Below are 23,309 nucleotides of genomic sequence, written 5' to 3'. Positions count from 1 at the left end.
GCCACATGACCGTGCCCCTGCTCTCCTGTCACACCCCTCAGCCTCCATCCCAGGAATCCCGAAGCCTCCATCTTGAGGAGTCTGTACCCCCACCGTACTTTCTCAAGGGGGATGCCTGCCATAACCAGCTGCATGAATGATGGGAGTGTGACATTCTTATGTGATTGGATGAGGGAGAAAGTTGAGAATCAGTCTGCTAGAAAGTGGGGTGATGTTCTGCTCCCTGTTTTTGAGGCCAAGAGAATAATTTATTCCAGATGGGCTGCTGTTCCTCTATAATTCAGAACAGAGCCTTTTAAGATCTAGGGAAGACAATTGAAGAATTGTTATCACAGGTTAACCAACAATACTATTAAGAGAGGTATTAATCCTCATTGCCTTGCCATTCAATAGCTCATGCAAACAATACAGGAGCTACAAGAATAATTCACAAAACTAATTTCCTGCTTTGATGAACACTCCATTTGTAATCTATTCAATTCTTCTTCTGCTTCTTCTCCGTCACCCTCTGTTTCTTCATTTTAGTCTTTGGGTATTGATCTCTTCATCACATCTTCTTTTCCCCATCATTACTTTTCACACTTACTTCTCTATGCCTCTTCATCCAATTTACTAATAATTGTTTTAAGATTAAAATGATATATGAAATTTTTCTTTATATGAAACTGTCATGTAAAAATATAACTCAAACTAAAAGACTCTGGGACACTGTTTGTCTGGATAGAGACAAATTGGATGTGTTTTCATACTCTCAAAAGGAATGAAAGGAATGAATGGTTGAGTAAGAAATGAGCTTAATGTTTGCCTCCCTTCATGATTCCACAGCTGGCGGAATGCGAGAGAATAGAAGGATCTAATCTCTTTTCTTCCTAAATACATTTCCTCCTTCTTTCCTCACTGTGTGCCTGTCTGTATATTTCACTATCTTTTAAAATTTCCCATTTTTTTCAATTTCCATGATATGGGACTAAAAATGTTATTTCAGCAATTCTGATACATGATGGAGTTTTATGTTTAATTTGCCATCTTTCTCCTAAATAAATGGAGAACATTATACTAAGAGTTATAGGTGATAATTTTAAAAAGTTTAGAAATAATCCTGGACTTCAAGGAGCCTAACATCTAGTGAAATGTATCATGTAAGAACTCTTTGAACAGAGAAAGTGGTCAAAGTGGAGGTCCTCTTATAATTTCTATGGCTAGGGGCAAAACCTGAAGTTGGTCCCTTTACCATTTTTCTCTTAAAATGAGGTAAAAACTGGACCAAAGCAAAAACAGAACAAAAAACTGAAAGGCAATGGGAAACCTATCTCTTCCAATTGGCTGTACAGGAATAGGGAGGGTCTCTGACTGATTTGGTTTTGGCTATGGTCGCAGGCTCAGGGGCTGGCTGTATACTTACAAGCCTCAGGAAATATTCAGCTCCAACTAGTGCCATCTCTTTTCCTGGCAGCCTCCTTGTACATTGCTTAACCACAGATCTCTCATATCATGGGGATGTTGATCACTGTTGCCATATCCAGGAATGCACTTCCGAATGGCACTGACACAGCTGGCTGGTTCGCTCACTGGAGGGAAACCTAGAAGATTGGAGTCTGGGTAGAGGAAGCATTAGAAGCAGGCACTTGCAAGAGAAATTTCCCAAGTGATTTTTAAAAGCATTATTCTTTGAAACAATAGATATTTAGGTGGATTAAAAAGTTTTCTCTCTTTCTCTCCATTTTCTTAAGATACAGATGCTGGCTTTTTCCTAGTGGGGCTATTTCCATTAGGGCTGCATTTTAGTGAGGTCACCGCTTTCACCAGTGGGTTAGAGCCATTAGTGCCCTGAGTTTTAGCTATCGTGACCTCTCATTACCCATGCTGTTTGGCCTCACAGTCACATAAAACACACAATAATAGGACCACTGGCATTTTAGATTTCATTACAATTCATATTTTGTTTAGCGCTTTCCCCATGTACACTTTAATTTCTGTGCATAGCTGAACTGCCTCATTTCCACAGAAACGAAGTTAGACCCAAAGCCTACACTCATGGTTCTAGAGGTGGTGATTCACTTCTGAGCTTTTGTGTCTTTTACCCCATGTGGGAGAAGCATACACACATACGCACACAGAGTAATTTTTCTTTTCCCGACTTTGCTGTTTTCATGATCTCTTCTAAGAGTAGATATGGAAACAGATCTTTGCTCTGCTTAATTGTTTTTAATACCAAGGGCCATTAGAAGTCACAAAACAACATATCTGAGTGCTTTCTGAATGGCTGTAATAACCGAAAGATTATTTTATCAATATTTCCTACTTTTGTCTGAGTACATATGCACATACACAATCTCAACCATTTTAGACTGAATTGGCTGTTTCTTAACAGACCACTTAATTGATTGGTATATGCTTGCTGAATGAAGTGACCAGTTCCCCCCACACCCCTTGACTCCAATTGATCTATCAATACAATCCATCACAAAGGTTTGGCAGTATGGACAAAACTTTAGCTGCATGTTGAAGCTATCTTTGCCTTTCTCATTATCTGTATGATTGAGTCAAAAGCCCTGCAAAATCCGAACATAATCTTTCTGAGTGAAGTCAAGTAATAACATCATATGCTGCTTCTATGAGAAATAGTTTTTTCATTTGAGTAGCTTGAGGATTACAGAACTTCTTGCTGCTACCACATTTGGAGTCACATCACAGGTAAAGGCTCTAACTTTTTTTCTTTTTTGAGACAGCGTCTTGCTCTCTTGCCCAGGCTAGAGTGCAGTGCATGATCTCGGCTCACTGCAACCTCCCCCTCCGGATTCAAGCAATTCGCCTGCCTCAGCCTCCTGAGTAGCTGGGATTACAGGAGCACACCACCACACCCGGCTGATTTTTGTATTTTTTAGTAGAGACAGGGTTTCACCATGTTGACCAGGCTGGTCTCGAATTCTTAACCTTGCGATCCGCCCACCTTGGCCTCCCAAAGGGCAAGGCTCTAACTTTTAACATCAATTAGTAAGGATCACTCATCCTTAGAAGAACCATAAAAAGGACTGAAGCTGAGCTGCCTCTATTTTAGCACTAAGCTCAGATTTCTGTTTTTCCTACTTCATGCTACTGTCTCAGCTAGCTCCTGGATTTGAGGCCTTTTGCCTATTTTGTCTTCAATTTTGTCTACTTCTTCAGATTTGATCTATTTCCTCTTAGATTTTCATTTGATTTCCTTCCCAACTCTGTTTATCTTGCAAATTTCCTTAGCTCTTGGTCTATTTGGACCTCAAATATCTTCCCTAACCCCAAATAATGCCTAAGTTCTACTAAAAATACAAATTCCACTAAAATACAAACTGAGTAAACTGTGAGGACATTTTAAAATCTGCTGGAGCAGACTGCAAAATACTTGACGAGGAGGAGGTTGAAAGGATGGGTTAAGGCGTCTATTCAGTGGCCCATCTAAGAAGCTTGCATTTTATTCTGGAGACGATGGAAAAACTTGGACACTTAAACACCAACATCTGGAAATAAATGCTTCACATATGTATACATATTTGAGGAAGGTTGAGCTTTCAGTGCGATGTGGGATGCGTTGGAATAGAGATGCTGGAGGTGAGCAGTTCAGGCTGAGGTCCAGCAAGGTTCCAAGCAAGAGCACCCAGCCAAGATGATAGAAGTCAGAAAGTGAAATGCAGGGTGGTGTGAGAGGTAGAACTCATGGAACTCGAGGGAGTGTGGTGGGTGGAGGTCAGAATAGAAGCAGAAGTGAAAGCTGCCCCCAAGGTTCTGAATCAGTGACTGGTGGTATAGATGATGCTATTAGCACGGACAGGAAAGGCAACCCAAAAGGAGAAGAACAGCTTTGAGAAAGGGGATGCTTTGCTTAGGGAATTTAAGGTGCTGATTCCTGAGTTCAAATTAGTTAGGGATTATAAGGGCAGCTAAAAAGACATTGATGGACTGAGAGATTTGTTTGAAAGAGGATGCTAACCCAGAAAAAAAGGAAGAAAGCAGACATACACTTTTACTTGCCTTAAAGAAAGAGTGCTATGCTATTTAATAAGGTGATCTAGTAGGGAAAAGCCTCCTCTATAAACTTATTCACAATCCCAATTCCAACCCGCATGGCTTTCTCCAGGTGCTAGCCCTTCCCAAGAAGCACCCCTGCATGACCCTCCCTTTCAGCCCAGCAAATGCTACTGTGCTGGTTGTGTGGGTGATAAAGAGCACTGCCCCCAGGCACCCAGGCTGGGCTTGTTGCATAGTGGGGTGGGGAAGAGGGTGTGAAGTGGATGTGAGGGAACTGATGCCTCTCTCTGTATCGAAAGGCCGAGTATAATAGATGGGGGCGTACCCCTTCCCTGACACCTCACAGACCCTGCCTCTCAGAAACGGTTCTTTAAATGGTATGACCTGCCACCTTTCTGAAAACTGTCTTAAAACATTTGAGATTGAAAGTTAAAATTCACAAACAAAAGCTTTCTTGTTCCCATAGCAAGTGATCATCATTAGTCAAGCTATTCAGAGGAAATTGAAATACCCTCTCTTGCTTGCAGGTGCCTTGGCTGGACTCCCACCCATCTTCCAGGTCCCTCTTCCTCGCCTGGTTTCCCTGGTGACCAGGACTCCTACAGCAGGGAGCAAATGCTTTTATGGATGCCGATCAGGCCAGGCTGTCTCACTGCAGGCCACCTCCCATGCCACCCTCGTGGCTGTTGAGGGCCCAGTACTCACAGGTCCAAGGCCACTCCAGGGCACAGTAGGCAGGGAGTGCTGGGGAGGCAAGCCTGGCAACCCTGCTCCTGACAAAGGAGGCAGTCGGGGTGGGGGTGGGTGGCACACCTGGGCCTTTTGTTTTTGGCTGTAACTGACATGGACTGTGCTTTATTTTCTTGGCTTCATTTGCAAAGGGCTTTGGGATTAAAGATCCTATATAAATGGAAATTATTTTATCATTGAAAGGAAAAAGTACAAGTATGCATGAGATGATGAGAAACTAAGCTTCATATTATTGCATATGACCTTTTTCACTGGATGTGTATGACACCTGACAAATACCAGCATTGGCAGGAGCTGGCTTCCAAATACTGACACTGTCCTGGATCCATGCCTTCACTCTTGGATTATTGCCATAGTTCCCTAACTGGCCGTTCAACCTCTAATCTCTCTTCACTATCACTGTCTTCAAAATAAACTGCAGGATACTACCATATGCCCTGATAAAGGCAAAAATGGAAAAGATAATAGTACCAAGGTTGGTGAGGATGTGGAGGAACTGGTACTTCATAGACTGCTGGGGGGAGTGTGAATTGCATGTTTTAGAGAAATGTTTAGCAGTATCTACTAAAGTTGAATATCAGCATACCCTTTGATCCAGCAAATCTACTCCTACTACATATACTCAGCAGGAGTAAGCACACATATTTATCAAAAGTCTTGTATGAAGTGTTCATGGTAACAGTGTTTGTTAATCGTCCAAATCTGAAAATAAGCCAGATGCCTACCCCAACATTAGAACTGATAAATTATGGTATATTCGTATAATGGGATACCATACATCAATGGGAATGAATGAATTCAATCTACATCACAATGTAGATAAAATCTTACAAACATTAATATTGAGCCAAAAAAGCCAAACACTAAAGTACATATACCATATTGTTCCATTCATATGAAGTTCAAAATCAGCAAATCTAAGCAACAGTATTAGAAATCAGGGTAATTGTTCCCTTGTTGGGGTGGGAGGTTATGACAGGAGAGGAGCATGCGGTGGGGAGTGGTCTTTTGGGAAGTTGGCAATGTTATGTTTCTTGACCCAATTACTGGTTACCTGGCTGACCAGAGGCCTGAGATGGACATATGTTCACTTTGTAAAATTCAGTAAGTTGAACACTTATTTTGTGTCCCTATTATACTTTGACAAAATTTATTAAACAAACAAAATAGAACTACCACAGCTTTCATGTTGCTTTCCTGCATAGAAACCTGAAATGGTTCTCTGCAGCTTTCAGGCTAAAGCCTAAACTCCTTAGCTTCAGATATGAGCTTTTACAATCTGTCCCCATCTATTTCTCCAGCCCCATCACCTACCCATTCCTACTAAGTACACTATGCTCTAGCTCTGTGGGATTTTTCAAATCATTACTTCAGTCTTCCATGCATTTGTATGTCTTCAGCACTTTGCTCATGTTGTTTTTTCTGCCTGGAATACTCTTCCACATGTGTTAACTTGATGACCCAACTCAAATGAAAGGTCGTCTCCTTTACAAAACCTTCCCTGACTTACCTGGCCAGATGTATTTGTGTCTCATGTGCTCATATTGCTATTAAAACACAACTTACCTAGTTCAGAATAAACTCTCATATGTATTTGTTAAATTAATGATTTCTTTGAGAGCCGAGCTACCTGAGATAATAGGATTCATATTTCAAAGAACCTTCTGATGCAGATAGATGCAGAGACTGTCACCAGGAATTATTGGCTTGACTGTTTCTCATTCTGTTTACTTAGCATTGCTGCCCCTACCTTGAGAAAGAAGAACTTGTTTGTTGGCTTCAAAGCTTTTTCTGTAGCTACATTATTTACTGGTGTTATCTCTTGATGGTTTTGGTAGTAGCTGGAGACTAAAGATAATTTTATTTTGCTCTTATCTTTTGTGGGGAAAGGGGAAAATAAAAAAGATGTGTGTATTTGTTTATTTCAAGTTAAAATAAAATTTTAATCTACAGAGTGAAGCAAAAAATAAAATAGGGTCAAATTCTGCCATATGCTTCGGACTCTCTATGCTTCTTGGGCCATGTTTTATTCTTCTAGCTGCATCTAGAGAGAAGTTTCTAGATAACATGATTTCCTTTTTGCAGGATTTAGGTCTCTGCATATTAAATTGATCACAGTGTGTGACTAAGAACTAATCTCCTAATGTTCTAGCTAGTTATTGGGTTAGCAGTATATACATATTAGGAGATGAATGTTGTTTGTGAGACTTCACCCTTATATCAAAATGCATTAACACGTGTATGGAGAAAAAGAGAAAAGCAGTAGACTAAAAGAAAACTTGTTTATAAGCCTGTATGATTGTAATAGTGAATCAGAAGCAAGTGAATAAAAACTCACACTAAATTAACTGGGTGCATTTTGGGTTGTTTTTTCCCCTTTTCATTTTATATACGCCAATTTAAAGCCTCACGTTTCTCTAGCCTCTGCAATTATAGCCGCCTTATTCTGTGTCTACCCTGGAGATACAAATGAGCTAAAAAGAGACTTTCTAGTCAACTCTTATAATTATGCAGTCAGATGGAAAATACTGATAACCAAGTCTTATTCCTAGTTAAGAGCTTCGCATATTTCAAAGAAGATGGGTGGGCTGCAACACAGAGCATAGCCTGTGCCTAGATTACACAAGTGACCCTTTGGAACAGTACTTTAACAAGCCTTGGTTTTCACAGTCTTAAAATATGAAAAGAAAAAAAAATAATACATTAGGGTTTATATAGTGCATTTTGTATTGTTCATATTTATTTTAAGGTGTCATCAGATCATTCCCATGTGGCTAAGACCGGTGTGTAACCTGAGGCATAATGTAGAGAAACTGCTTCTTAAGTGGCAACACAGGGATAAAGAGCCAGCTCAGAGCTGGTTGGCATCAGAGCAGAGTCTGACTTAAACCCAGGTCATTGACTGCTGGATTAGGCTGCTCTCATTGACTCACTCTTACTCTTTTCACTAAATCCTACTGTCTCATGAAACTCAAAAACATTAAATAAAATGCCCTCCCTGTGAACCTAGACTACTGGTGAAGCTGTTGGAAGCCTCAGTCTCCCAGGTACCAATACGAAGTAAACACCCTTCCACTCTCCTTCTCCTCTAGCCCTTGGTAAAATCTGGCTGCTATGATGATGGCACAGATGCTCCCTCCCTAGAGTGACTCCAAGTCTCTAAGCACACTCTCTATGGGGCTCCAGAATTAACCCACTAATTGCTACAATCAAATCATGAGAGGTTCCTCTCCCTCCCCAAACTACCAATTGTCGTTCACCTATTTCAAGGGGAGTAGCTTGGAGAAGTGAAGAAAGCGTGGACTCTGAAGCCTCAGAGCTCTGTGTACCAGTTTTCCTTCTGCTATTTTGTAGTTTTGAACCTATGCAAGCAACTGAATTATCTGAAGCTCAGGCATCCCTTGATGCCTTTTAATTGGGTTATTTGGAAATTTAATGATAGTGCATACAATTACCTGGTACATAGTAAAAATTCAAAACTACTTTGAACTGAAAAGTGGCTGCTAAACCTGAAGATTTCAGATCCCACATAGTTTAAAGACCTTCACATTGTTAGAAATATAAAATTTTCAGTGAAACTAAACTCATCTTCTATCTTCATCTCACTTGGCATCATCACAATGCCTGGCAGTTCCAGTTAGACATTTTGTCAGATGTATCTAGTTATGTGTCAGATTTTTCCCTACCTAGAAAAACTTTTTTTTAACTTACTTTCAAATCTATGATCGTATTCATTTAAAAATGTATTGGGAAAGGTTTGTGGGCTCCAGGAAGGTTGGGCCAAGCCTGTTTTTGCCCTTTGTATTTTTATTATGTAATACTGAGCTAGTGGCTAAATGAATGAATAAACGGCTGGGTTGGAGTGCTGATGATTCTATAGAGCTTCCGTAGCTCAAGAAAATGTACCATGTCCTGTGTCAGCAGGCCCACAGCATCATGCTTACATTTAAAGGGCAAGGGCAACACAGAGATAAAGAGCCGTTTTGGACTGTCAGAGTTCTGAGTTCATGTTTTGCGTCTGCTGCTGACTCACAGTATGACTCTGGTCAATTAAACTTATTTGCTTTGAAATTGAGGGGAGGGTTACTTGATATTTCTCATGGAGGCATCAAGTAATGCCTAGGACATACTGTTTCATAGAAGCAAGGGGGTAATGCATAGTCATTAAAGCACACTGTGTTGACCAGCTGGCTCCAACCCTTGGCATAGCTCCTATCCCACTGCTGTGGCTCCAGGAGCCCACCTGAGGACCCAACCCTATAGGGGCCTTGAAACAGTTCTGATCTTGGTTAACAGAATATTAGGAGCCTTTATTTGATAACTCTTGTGAATCAGTATCAAGTTATCTTGGCTGCCACGCCTATTCTGAGCTTTTGTGGCCCAAATATGGTAAGTGGGTTTCCATCAAATTCATGTAATTAAGTTCATTTGTTGCATCTATTCATCCTCTATACAATTTACAATCCATGTTAGGGTCTGGGTATTTAAAGATGGGTCTGCCTTTAGAGTTCCCAGTCTAGTGGGAGAGATGTATAGACACATCATTGTATAAGAACAGAGCTTGGTAAAGTGTTTTAAGAGTGCCTTACGATCAGCATGAAACTCATTTAGCCCTTGTTGGGTGTTGTTCTGCTCCTCTAGGCCCAAGTTCTTCTTATCTTGGGATCCTGTCAGCTCATAGCAGGCCCTCTGGCACTGACTGCTGGCCGGGTATTTACCTACCAGCTGCACTGACCAGGCAGGATTCCCTCCATTAGCTTGACTTTGTAATGCTGTCATCTCACCACATATTGGGGTCCTCCTGTTCCTGGGAATCTGCATCCTGTTCCTCTTTGTGGTTCTATCTGACGCCCAGGTATTGACCTACATTAGTTTTTATGGGTGTTTTTGATGTATGTTTTCATCTGGTTTTAGCTGTATAGATGTGGAGCGGCCCACATAATGTGTATTACTCCACGCTGCCTCCCAACAATGTTAATGATAAATTGTAAACAAAGTGTGTGTCTTCAACCCTTTGATCGAATCTACTCGCATATCATGCCAAAGAAACACGTAAAAATCAACTATGAGCTGCAGTTACTGATCCCACTGTTTATCCAGGCTGTCCTCCCTCTTTTCTGTTCAAGTGTCCTTTCCTGCTCTTGTATTTGTTACTCCCTCTGCACTCTCCTGGTTTTGTTCCCCAGCTTACAACAAGACATATCAGAATTCCACTTCCTCGTGGTGTACAGATCAAATCTGAGATAAGAACTCCTTAGATAGAAGGCAGTGCTGTGTACCGGAAAGAACACAGTCTTGGAATCTGATAAACGACTTTAAACCAGGCTATGTCTCTAGCTGTGTGAGCTTTGTTAATTTAAAATAACTCAGCTAATCTGATCTAGAGATGTCTTCTGTTAAGTGTAGATAATAACATCTCATAGAGTTATGAGGTCAGTATGAGATAACATATGCAGAGCTCTTAGGACTTAGCAAAACCTCAATAAATGCTTGTCCCTTCTCTTTTCTGCATATTGACACAAAAACCCCTTCTATAACTTAAATTCGTGATTGCTCATCTGACCCTAAACCTGGGAACAAAAACAGTGTATTCGTTAGTAGTTCTGACTTGACCAATAACTGCTGTTATGAGCCCTGGAAAGTCTTTTGTTATGTAGTCTTAAAAATATTATTGAAAATATATTTACCATTGGTCTAGGACAGGCTGTGGAATACTAAGAGTGGATAGTCACTTGGAAGAGGTTAAGGTCAAGAGGAAATCAATGAAGAACATTTTCCCCTTCTTTATCAGTCCTCAGCTCACAATGTGCAATGTTTTCTCTGAATCAGCAGAGAATGAATGCATCCATATACTTGCATCAATAACATAATGATTGGAAGTCACAGTTGCGGAACTAGACAGCTTGGGTTCAAATATCAGATCCACCTCCAACTAGGTGTATAATTTTGGACCATAGTTTCTTTATTAGTAAAATATTTGAATGGCTCTAAAAATAGTAATACTAATTTAAGGGATTTTTCTGATAATTTCATGAGTTAATTCATATAAAGCACTTAGAAAAGACTATGGCTCCTAGTAAACATTGCATCAGGCTTTGCTATGATTATTCTACCCTTATCAACATTATTATCATTGAGGAAAATTCTGTGCTATTTTACAAGTAAATATATCTTACGTCAGTTGAATCAATATAATCATAAAAAGAGATTTTTTCATTTGTTTATCATTTGCATTATTTCTTGATTTGATTACCACTTGTGTTTTTTCTTAAAGTTATTATTTATATTCCCTATCCATTTTTAATTCTTTACCGTTAATAATTTCAAAGAACTCTTTTTGTGTTGGTGATTATATTCCACCATCCACCTTTGCTTTGTTTTTTTCTTAAGCATATATATTTTCAATCCAGATTAAATTTGCTTCAAGGTAAAAGTAGACAAAGTTTGCTTAAAAGCCTGTAAGCAAAATTTTGAAATTAAATATTTTTAGCCGTTTAACCACTTGTCTTATATTTTATAATATATAAGGTAATACAATGAGCTGATACAATTGGTAATAAGTATTTAAATTGAAGCTGGTGTTTCAGCCTCACGATCAATATCTAATTGTGTATTATATGAGGGACATAATTTCAGGGGCCTTAATCCTATCTTTAAGCTATATGGCCAATGTGCCAATCCAATTGTTTTTACTTAAATATATTTTCAGTCTTGAATTAATAGGCTTCAAAATTATACTAAGATTTTTGATTGAGAACATTGCAGGGTGATGGAGTGAATAATACATATTCACTATTTTTTCCCTATGCCTTTTTTTTGCTGACCTTACATAACACAACATATTTATATTGATTTTGTATTTTCAATTATTTTCTCACTAAAGACTTTTTCTTACTGTTTTCCACACTAGCATAACCATTTAACTTTTAATAAGATGAAATATAATAATAATGACACTTATTGAATGTTTACTGCACACCAGGGACTGTTTTGTGCTTGTTATACAAATTTATTTAGTTCTCCCCAATAACATGCATTTGGTAGTATAACCCTCAGATGAGAAAACTGAGGCAGAGGAAGGCTAAGTTGCCCAAGAATACCCAGCTAATAAGTGAATTACAGAAGGATTTGAATTTAAGTAGAATAATTTTAGGGCATTGTCTGGCAAACTTTTTTTATGGTCAAGGGTCAGATATTAAGTATTTTTGGCTTTGAGGGCCATCTGATCTCTATTGCAACTACTCAGCTCTGTGGTTATAGCACAAAAACAGCCATAGATAATATGTAAACGAATGGGTGTGGCTGTGTTCCAATAATACTTTATGGTCACTGAAATTTGAATTTTATAGAATTGTCACCTGTCACAAAATATTTTATTTTGATTTTTAAAAAATGGTTTACAAACTATGATAAACATTTTGGCTCATTGGCTGTAGATTGCCAACTTCTGTTCTAGAGGGTAAGATCTTAGCCACTGTGTTCCTACTTGACTTGCACATATCAAAAAGTGAAAAATCCAAAGTGTGTCTAATACTAATGGTGTTACCTAGTAAGGATAACTCCTTCTTCAAAGATACTACTTACTAGAACTATATTATTTTGGTTTGGAAGTTAAAAGTTTATCAGCTGAATTCTTAAAGTTCTCCTGAGTGTTTGCATTTTTTTCACCCTTAATTGTGAGTATAACCCTCTTCAGGCTGAGCCCATATAGTAAAAATAAGGCCAATTTGTAATTACTGGATTGGCTTCACTAAAGTGCAAACAATGGAGTGAATCAGAGTGAGAAAACATAATATCACGTTCTGAGTTATGCTGTTTTACTGTCTACATTTATAAATTAACCCGGTTCATCTTCAGAACAGCATTTTGCTCTGTTTTGTGTGGATAGATTCTAATTCACAGCACCAGCATCCAGCATGGTTTCTTTATTATGGAAAATAAATTCCCAATAAGCCACCCAGCAGCATGATTAAATTTTGAAATAACATTGGCTTTGTGGCCACATCATTTTAATTGTCCTCCCTGCCAGCCTAGTTTATCTTCATGACAACCACCTCATTCATTATCACCTATTACCAATCCAGAAGGCTCTCAGTACACCATCTCCAAAGCAGTTCCAAACAATAAAGCCAGTTATACATCTAGACATGTCATATTGACACATAATTTGACCAGGGCTCCCAAGCTGTTGCATAGGCACCAACAACTTTGATTCGTCAGTGACTGACTCCAAGATTCTGCTTGAGAAGGGGAAGGCTAGGGCCTGGAGAGCTTGTGGAGCAAGAAAGGAAGTAGTCAACATTGCTGTGGAGACAAGTTTCTCAACCTCATAAAACTCTACACTATCTCCACACCAGATGATGTTAGAATGGCATTGACTAACCTTACCAAGAAGGATAGAGGGATCATGCCGAGAAAATGAAGAAATATAAGAGATTTCAAGTAAAAACGTTTTAGATTATTGCATGGTGATAGGTTAGCCAGACAACTTAACAGATCTTTGCCATAATAAGCATTGTGGTTGTAAATTCTAGATTCACTTGTATTACAGCCTTTAATCACTGTCATAATCATGCATGTTTTTTCACATATGATCATTTTTGGACTTTAATGTGTAACTCACTCATGCAGAATAGATATTACTCTCCTCCTTCATAGCTGGGGGAAGCAAGGCATAGACGGGATTCACTGATCACCTCAAGTGATTAAGAGAGCAGGTTAGCGCTGTGACTGGAGTGTTGCTCCAAACTCCTGGCCATTACTCTTTCTGCCATGGTATACTACATGTAATTCCTAGGAATGGTGAAATACTGCTGAAGCAACCAGCCATTTATACAGGGGAAGGAAACAAAATACAAATTTTTTAATGCATTAATAAAACCAAATTTTTAAAAGTCTGCAGAGGGCCTTGATTTAGGGGACATGGATTCAAATCACCAAGTTCATAGATTACTAGGAACATAAACCTGAGCTTGTCAGTTATAATCTTGAAGTCTTACTCTCCTCTTCTGTAAAATGTGAATAATAATATGCTACACAAGTTCTCGTGAGAATAGAATGAGACAAAGCCATCAGGAAGCATCTAGCAACTGGCTTAGCACTTGATTAACACCAGCTCTTTTCCTCCTTGAAATTGTGCATTATCTGAAGCCAGATGCACATGGGTAAAAACATTAGAGATATTTTCAATTATCTGTGCAATCTCTAAAGAACTTTAACTTGAAAAAACTTTTGCAGATGCCACTGTAATTTAAACTTTCTCTTTTATTTACTTATTTAGTGAGACCTGTTGTCCAGGCTGAAGTGCAGTGCTCTGATCATAGCTCACTACAACTCTTTTTTATTTTTAATATTTCCTCTTACCCCTAGTGAATTGAAATTAGCAAATGAACAATAACAACAACAGCAAACCCCCCCCCAACCCCAGGATTAATTAGAAGTGGGAGATCATTAAAAGCTGATTTGTCCATGCCTATGTCCTGAATGGTATTGCCTAGGTTTTCTCTCGGGTTTTTATGGTTTTAGGTTTTACATGTAAGTCTTTAATCCATCTTGAGTTAATTTTTGTATAAGGTGTAAGGAAGGGAGCCAGTTTCCATTTTCTGCATATGGCTAGACAGTTTTCCCAGCATGGGCAAAGTCTTCATGACTAAAACCCTAAAAGCAATTGCAACAAAAGCCAAAATTGACAAATGGTATCTAATTAAACTAAGGAGCTTCTGCACAGCAAAACAAACTATCATCAGAGTGAACAGGCAACCTAGAGGATGAGAGAAAATTTTTGCAATCTATCCATCTGACCAAGGTCTAATATACAGAATCTACAAGAAATTAAACAAATTTACAAGAGAAGAAAAAAAAATCAAAAATTGGGCAAGGGATATGAACAGACATTTCTCAAAGGAAGACATTTATGTGGCCAAACAAACACCTGCAAAAAAGCTTATCATCACTGATCATTAAATAAATGTAAATAAATACCACAGTGAGATACCATCTCATGTCAGTTAGAATGGCAAGCATTAAAAAGTCAGGAAACAACAGATGCTGGTGAGGATGTCGAGAAATAGGAGCACTTTTACACTTTTGGGAGTGTAAATTAGTTCAACCACTGTGGAAGAGTGTGGCAATTCCTCAAGGATCTAGAACCAGAAATACCATTTGACCCAGAAATCCTATTATTGAGTATATACCCAAAAGATGATAAGTCATTCTACTATAAAATGGATGCACATGTATGTTTATTGCAGCACTATTTAAAATAGCAAAGATGGAACAAACCCAAATGCCCATCAGTAATAGGCTGGATAAAGAAAATGTGGCACATGTACACCATGGGATACTATGCACTCATAAAAAAGAATGAGTTCATGTCCTTTGCAGGGACATGGATGAAGCTGGAAACCATCATTCTCAGCAAAGTAACACAGGAACAGGAGACCAAACACCGCATGTTCTCACTGATAAGTGGGAGTTGAACAATGAGAACACATGGACACAGGGAGGGGGACATTACACACCGGGGCCTGTCAGGGAGTTGGGGGAAAGGGGAGGGAGAGCATTAGGACAAATACCTAATGCATATGGGGTTTAAAATCTGCATGAAGGGTTGATAGGTGCAGCAAACCACCATGGCATATGTACACTTATGTAACAAACCTGCATGTTCTGCACATGTATCCCAGGACTTAAGGTAAAAAATTAATAATAATAATATAATAAAAGAAATCTAGGTGGGGGGATCGTGAGGTCAAGAGATCGAGACCATCCTGGTCAACATGGTGAAACCCTGTTTCTACTAAAAATACAAAAATTAGGTGATGGTGGCACGTGCCTGTAGTTCCAGCTGCTCAGGAGGCTGAGGCAGAAGAATTGCTTGAACCCGGGAGGCGGAGGTTGCAGTGAGCCAAGGTCATGCCACTGCACTCTAGCCTGGTGACAGAGCGAGACTCTGTCTCAAGAAAAAAAAAAGGTTGATTTGCAAATTTTTAAGTTACAGTTTTTAACTATGGTACTATATGCATAACATAAAATTTACCATCTTGTTTCTAAGTTTACAGTTCCATGACATTAAGTACATTCATATTGATGTGCCACAATCACCACTATTTGTCTCCATTTCATCATTCAAACTGAAATTATGTGCCCATTAAACAATTATTCCTCATTCCCCCTCCCCCAACCCCTGACAATCACCATTCTAGTTTTTGTCTCTAAGAATTTGACTGTTCTAGGTACTTCATATGAATTGCTTTGCATATTTAACTCTCCATTCTCAAAGGGATCTGGAAACTTCTATTTTTGTTGCAGTATTTTATAAATTCAGTCTAATGTTATTCGATTAACTTTAATCTCAGTGGAGACTGCAACACTTAAAGTTACATGTTTATTTAATCAAAAACTAATCTTTCAATATAAAGTGACATTTGAACTGAAAAGATTTACAAAGTTGTTAAAAATTATCCATGAGCAAACACCTCATCAATAATAATTATTCCCAGGATGGAATATGTACATACATGAGCACATTAGGTGGGGGTGTAAAAGAAAGAAGTTAATGCTGCATTAATCATCCAAATGAAGTAATACTATTACTTTTATGTCATCCAATATCTTGTATTTGAATATATTAAAACCAGACCATAAAGTATAAATTATTAAACAGAATTACATTGCCATTTTACACTTAAATCTCTTTCTTTACATTTTACTGTAAACAAACACATTTTAAATGTTTGTTTATTTAGCATGCATCAATATTTCTAGAGGCCTTTTAAAACTGCTTTCAAAATTAAACCAGTAATAATTACTAAATGATGCTTTAAATGGCCAATAAATTCCACCTTGGAAACTCATCTCCCTGCACTTCAAGTAATACTGGGTTGACATACATTATCTAAATTTTCAGCAACCCTGTGAAGAGCAATTACTTCCACTTTACAGAGGAGGACAGGAAGATCTAGACATGTTGAGTGACTTGCCCATGTCATGCATGTCCAGTTTGGGACTCAAACTCAAGTCTTCTAGCTCAAAGTCTTGGACCTGCTACTCTCAAGGCCCCTGCACTGCACAATTCCAGGGACATCACATTCTCTACACACCTGCCCCCTTTCTCTTTTCCATGTCATCATTTCTTTATGGGACCACTTCCTTCCAGTTATAGTATAGTGGCTTACCAATGTGTCTACTGTATTCTACCAGACTTTCATCTCTCTGGAGTCTGAAGTATTCTCAGTTATCTCAGTGTTTTCTGCGGGACCTCACACGTCACTCACAAAATGCTTTTGGAATTGAGGCAGGGATGTTGCAGTTGCAGAGTGTGTCATGTGAGGCTATCTTCCTGGTGCCAAAATGTTAGAGCAAAAAATGTGAAAATTTTAGTCAATTATCTGGATGCTTTTCTCATAAACTTCTATTTGGCAGCAGACACATGGATGCACCTTTCATCTTTGAACAGTAAGATTAATGATGTGCGGTAGCATCTTTACTGTTATCAAAGTTGTCTTCATTGCTATGTAGACTAGGATGTCTTCATGATGTCCAATTAATTATTTAAGAATGCCTATTGAACAATTTCAGGGAGATGACTTGAAGTTGACTTGGGATAAATTTCATTTTCTCCTTAGCAATGGAGTTGATCCCCCTTCATGGACCCATCCTGATATAATTGTTGATTTCTGTAATTTAGCAATAAAAGATAGTCTATGAAACAGGTTATCAATAGTGTGCCCAAATGGCAAAGTCATTATGAATTTAATTTATAAATTAAATCCTGGACATTTCAAGGTACTTAGGTCTAAAAATTGTTTTATATTTAGGACTCTCTTGAATATATATATTGATATATATATCTCATATATATATATGAAACTCTGAGAGTCTACATATTCTTAGAAGCCAAGAGCAAACTAAACCTACTCAAGAGTTCCTCCTCATATATATATATATATATATATATTCAAGAGAGTCCTAAATATAAATATATAAATATATATTTATTTATATATCTCAGATATATGTATCTCATACATATGAGACATATATATCATATGTAATATGATAAAACTGAATACTATATATACATATCATATATAACTGAATACTATATATATACTATATATATATACTAACTGAATATTATATATATAGTATTCAGTTATATCATACAACTGAAGTTTCAGATTCATCTTTCCTGCAGAAGGCAAAGCAATGTGAGGGCATCAGCATAATGTGTTGCATAGATGGCCCATCTGCCAGGTATTTCTCTTTTTGGCACCTCAAGAACAGAAAATTCACTGGAGATTAATTGAAAATCTGTATGTCTTGTGTCTGCTATATATTATTTGAGCCTATATGTTCATTTAATTAAAATTTCGTAAAGCCTAAGATTATTCTGTCTCCCTAGACTATGAAAAACATACTATCTGCTGAATTCAATGTCACTATAATTGTATCTCCTCTGCCAATAATAATGCTTTATATTCTTTGGGTTTTAGACAAGCATTACTGTGAACTTTCTCCCCAGATATTTTTACAGTACCATATAACACAATTAACAAGCTAAATTTTACAGCAGTCTTAAAAGAATGTAGGAACTGCTAGACACAAGGCAAAGTGATGTTTCTGGATGAGATCAGATGGAAGACCAGGAGTCAATGCAATGTCTGTGACTCCAATATCTGCAGATCTCAGTACCAGCTCCAACTGGTATTGACCTGGTAAAGGTACAACCTCCTAAAATTCTAAATGGCCTTTGGAGAAGAGAAAGTTGTTAGCAACTCTCTAATCTGCAGAAATGGAATTCTAATTGCTTGAAACTAAATGGGACTGAGGAACTGAGCATTTCTCTGGAGTTCTTTGGTTGAAACTGGATAGCTGAGAAGCTACATTTGTTTGGGTTCTTTGTATATAACCCTACAAGATGGATGCCTCAGATGAGCATTGCCCATTAAACAGTCCTGGTTATGGTGTGCTGAACATGAGGGCTGCAGGTGAGGAGGAGCTCTTGAGTAGGTTCAGTTCACTCTTGGCTTCTAAGAATAGGTAGACTCTCAGAGTTTCATCATACATTTTATTCCCGGTTTCATTCACTTTTCTTCTCTTCTCCTCTTCCTACCTTTGTCAAACTTTCATTCTATATGGTCCCTTGAGGTACAGAGTAACATATAGGAGGGAAATATGCTCAGCATGACAAAGGTCAGGTTGAGTATAGATGGGTAAAAGGGAACTATTTTGTTTTTGTTTTGTACTCCACCCTGAGTCATGCAAATGTCTAACAGAGCCTTCTGAACATAGGCTTCTGAACACACTTCCTTCAGGCAGAAAACTCTCCCAGATAATAGAGGCAGAGCATGGGAATCTGAAAGGAATAAGCCATATGAAGAAATGTACACTTGACAATCTTGGGTCTATCTCAAGAAGGAGAACATATATCAATGCTTACTAAGTGTTAGGTGCTACACTAAGCCCCTCACGGGCATTACATCATGCATCTCTCACAGCAATGTTCTCAAAGGAAGTGTTATTTTTATCCTCATTATACAGATGAGGAAACATAATTAGAAAGGTTAAGCTATGCAGCCATGTTGCTCTGAACTTGCTGCCTAAGTTCTTAACCTCTCTGCTATACTGGCTGGTTGTAGGTCCCTTTGACTTTGTTTTTAGTGACCTGGCACTCATCCCCAGGTTCTCCCATTTAGTGGTCTCCCAACACTACTGAAATTCTGGCACAGTGTTTTATTTACCATGCTATCTCTACTGCTCAGATCTAGCTTCATGGCAACCAGCTCCTTCAGGGCTGCAGTGGATATCTGGGGGCTTGCAGACCAAGCAGCTCTTCCTCTTCACTTTCCAATGCAAGTGAAGGGAATCACTTCTTCTCCAACGAGTATAGGCTAGTGGGATGATTAATAAAGCAGCTCTTTTTTTCCTTTAGCTGAAACGTGGGAAAAAGACCCAACTAGGCACACAAGCCCTCTCTCCTTGGAATTAGCACACAAAGCAGAAAACATAACACCCAAAAATGATGGAGTCCCAATGACAGCGATTTATCCCTACCATGTAGATTTCAAGAGATATTTGAGTTTTGCCTGTTTCAAAGACTGGTTCTTCAGTTTTCCACTCTGTACTGTGGGTTACCCCATATCATACCTTTATACTTTTTTTAAGGTAGTTGACTCAATATTCACTGTTTAAAGGAAAAGAACCTCAAGTGAAACAGGTTCAGCAGTAAAAGCCCTGGAAACTTCAGTCATACTATATGAGTACTTTTTAAATTTCAACAAGGTAAGCCAAGCCATTCATGTGTGTCTTCTTCTCCTGCAGTGTTCATATTGAGGCTGAGCAAGGTAAGCTAGGAAAAAAGCTTTTTCACTAATCAATTCTCTCTGGGGAATGGGCAAACTGAAGGTAAAACACACAGGAAAGGCATTCAAGATGCCAAGATAGAAGATATGAGAAAAATCACAACTGAGAGAAAATGAAGTTCTAGACAAAGAATCAAAGGTGAGAAATCCATATTTAGGTGCATATGTCTTCCATTAAACAGCTTCTCTGGTACAGTCATCACTGATATGTATGCCCTGTTCAGTGACATTACTAATGCTGTGCTGTGTGACACTTATAATCTTCTGCAAGTTGACTGGCCTAAGCCATCAGAAATGACACATCAAAAATGGACCCATCAGCTTGAGTAATTGAAACAGAGGCAGTTCTTTGAAATTTCATTTTCAAATGAGCTTTGAGAATGTTAATAAACTTGATTACCAACATTTAAATAAAATTTCTTTTTAAAATATTGCTCTTTTCTGTCTCTATTGAAAGCCTGGTACTCAGCAAACCAAACATTCAGAGTCAGTGATAAAGTCCCAGACAGACTGGTTGCTTCTTTGTTCAGTCTCATGGAATTCACATGCCTTAGATCACACTCTTCCAAGAAATTATCTTAATTTCATATTTTGAAATTTTGATATTTAACACATTCATCTAGCTCTTTTCTTCTCCCAGCCACTCCCCTTTTGGAGAAGAGAATTACCAGGATAGGCATGAAGCTGTTCTCCCTGAACAATTTTTCCTTCTTTTAAGTCCATTGTGCAACACCTGTAACAGTTACACTCCTTTCAGTGTCCTCCCTGACTTTTTGCTAAAATGCAGTTAACTGTTGTCTGTGCTCTGTTTGAGCTGCAAAGTCAACGTGGGTATAATGGTTATGCCTGCATTTTGTCTCCTCAAGCCTAGCTCAACTGAGATCGTTGCAGGTATAGCTTTGTACAACTCTGGGACCATTCTAGGGTAAGGCAGACTGTACATGGAAGTAGAAGGAAGCTGGGTTTAATTTTGGCTGCATGGCCACTGATGGGAGCTCTGGACATGTGCAAGCATATCGTGCCATGGTGTTTTCTTGACCCAGCCATGTGAGCGCATCCTGACTAGCTGCTCCTCTGCCTCAGTACTGTATATATTTTTAAGTTGGATATCTAAGTTCCTGCTGTAACCACAAAGCTGTCCTCACAGCCTCAGCCCACTTGGCTGAGACTTGGCCTTCTGTCTTGTCTCTCTTTTCAGAGATGACTTTTTTAAATCCCTAGTCACCAGATTTGGAGCAGGACTGGTTCTGCTCTGAATAGCTCAGTCTACTCACAGTCTTTGCACCCTCTGCTGCCTGATTTCAAGGCTCATGCATTGTCTGCACCTCTGCGGTTGTGCCCTGCCAACTGAATTGGACCTTTTAATGCTGATAGCAGACCCCTCAGATTGACCAAAACTGGATGCCGACCCTCAGAGGGTAGCTCCACGTTCCAATGCAATATATTAGCTCCAGACTCATCAATATGCAGTCTCTCTCCACATTTTCCCACAACACAAACATTTTAAACAATTTTAGCATACCTGTATTAGTCCGTTTGCATGTTGCTGATAAAGACATTCCCAAGACTGGGAAGAAAAGAGGTTTAATTGAACTTACAGTTCCACATGGTTGGGGAGGCCTCAGAATCATGGTTGGAGGCAAAAGACACTGCTTACATGGCAGTGGCAAGAGAAAATGTGAGAGAAACAAAAACAGAAGCTCCTTATGAACCCATCAGATCTTGTGAGACTTATTCACTATCGCAAGAATAGCACGGGAAAGACTGGCCCCCATGATTCAGTTACCTCCCCCTGGGTCCCTCCCACAACATGTGGGAATTCTGGGGATACAATTCAAGTTGAGATTTGGGTGGGGACACAGCCAAACCATATCATTCCACCCCCGGCCCCTCCAAATCTCATGTCGTCACATTTCAAAACCAAGCATGCCTTCCCAACAGTCCCCCAAGTCTTAACTCATTTCAACATTAATCCCAAAAGTTCATAGTCCAAAGTCTCATCTGAGAAAAGGCAAGTCCCTTTCACCTATGAGCCTGTAAAATCAAAAACAAGCTCGTTATTTCCTAGACATAATGGGGGTGCAGGTATTGGGTAAATACAGCTGTTTCAAATGGGAGAAATTGGCCGAAACAAAGGAGTTACAGGGCCCATGCAAGTCCAAAATCCATTGGGCAGTCAAATTTAAAAGCTTCAAAATGATATCTTTTGACTCCAGGTCTCACATCCAGGTCACACTGACGCATGAGGTGGGGTCCCATGGTTTTGGGCAGCTCCACCCCTGTGGCTTTGCAAGGTACAGCCTCCCTCCTGGCTGCTTTCACAGGCTGGCACTGAGTGTCTGTGGCTTTTCCAGGTACATGGTGTAAGCTGTCAGTGGATCTACCATTCTGGGGTCTGAAGGATGGTGGCCCTCTTCTCACAGCTCCACAAGGCAGTGCCCCAGTAGGTGTTCTGTGTGGGGGCTCTGACCCCACATTTCCCTTCTGCATTGCCCTAGCAGATGTTCTCCATGAGGGCCCCACTCTTGCAGCAAAGTTTTGCCTGGGCATCCAGGCATTTCCATACATCTTCTGAAATCTAGGTGGAGGTTCCCAAACCTCAATTCTTGACTTCTGTGCACTCTCAGGCTCAACACCACGTGGAAGCTGCCAAGGTTTGGGGCTTCCACCCTCTAAAGCCACAGCCTGAGCTGTACATTGGCCCCTTTCAGCCATGGTTAGAGCTGTTGGGACACAGGGCACCAAGTCCCTAGGCTGCACACAGCACGGGGACCCAGGACCCAGCCCATGAAACCACTTTTTCCTCCTGTTTCCTCTGGGCCTGTGATGGGAGGGGCTGCTGTGAAGGTCTCTGACATGACCTGGAGACAATCCCCATGGTCTTGGAGATTAACATTAGGCTCCTTGCTACTTATGCAAATTTCTGCAGCTGGCTTGAATTTCTCCCCAGAAAATGGGTTTTCCTTTTCTATCGCATAGTCAGGCTGCAAATTTTCCAAACATTTATCCTTTGCTTCCCTTATAAAACTGAATGTCTTTAACAGCACCCAAGTCACCTCTTGAACGCTTTGCTGCTTAGAAATTTTTTTCCACCAGATACCCTAAATCATCTCTTTCAAGTTCAAAGTTCCACAAATCTCTAGGGCAGGGGCAAAATGCTGCCAGTCTCTTTGCTAAACATAACAAGAGTCA

The 23,309-nt window shown here is 39.4% G+C and overlaps 3 annotated features.

Annotated features, from left to right (window-relative positions):
* Positions 3,530-3,589: an enhancer, noted in NCBI's record as "active region_20851". NCBI's record gives its function as "activates an Ori minimal core promoter by ATAC-STARR-seq in GM12878 lymphoblastoid cells {active_cell/tissue: GM12878}" and the evidence as "EXISTENCE:reporter gene assay evidence [ECO:0000049][PMID:35858748]".
* Positions 3,860-3,909: an enhancer, noted in NCBI's record as "active region_20850". NCBI's record gives its function as "activates an Ori minimal core promoter by ATAC-STARR-seq in GM12878 lymphoblastoid cells {active_cell/tissue: GM12878}" and the evidence as "EXISTENCE:reporter gene assay evidence [ECO:0000049][PMID:35858748]".
* Positions 3,940-4,039: an enhancer, noted in NCBI's record as "active region_20849". NCBI's record gives its function as "activates an Ori minimal core promoter by ATAC-STARR-seq in GM12878 lymphoblastoid cells {active_cell/tissue: GM12878}" and the evidence as "EXISTENCE:reporter gene assay evidence [ECO:0000049][PMID:35858748]".

This window comes from Homo sapiens, chromosome 3 (genome assembly GCF_000001405.40).
Source record: "Homo sapiens chromosome 3, GRCh38.p14 Primary Assembly".
Classification (NCBI taxonomy): Eukaryota; Metazoa; Chordata; class Mammalia; order Primates; family Hominidae; genus Homo; species Homo sapiens.
The sequence above is the reverse complement of the archived record's forward strand: the minus strand, read 5'-3'. Positions and strand labels throughout refer to the sequence as shown.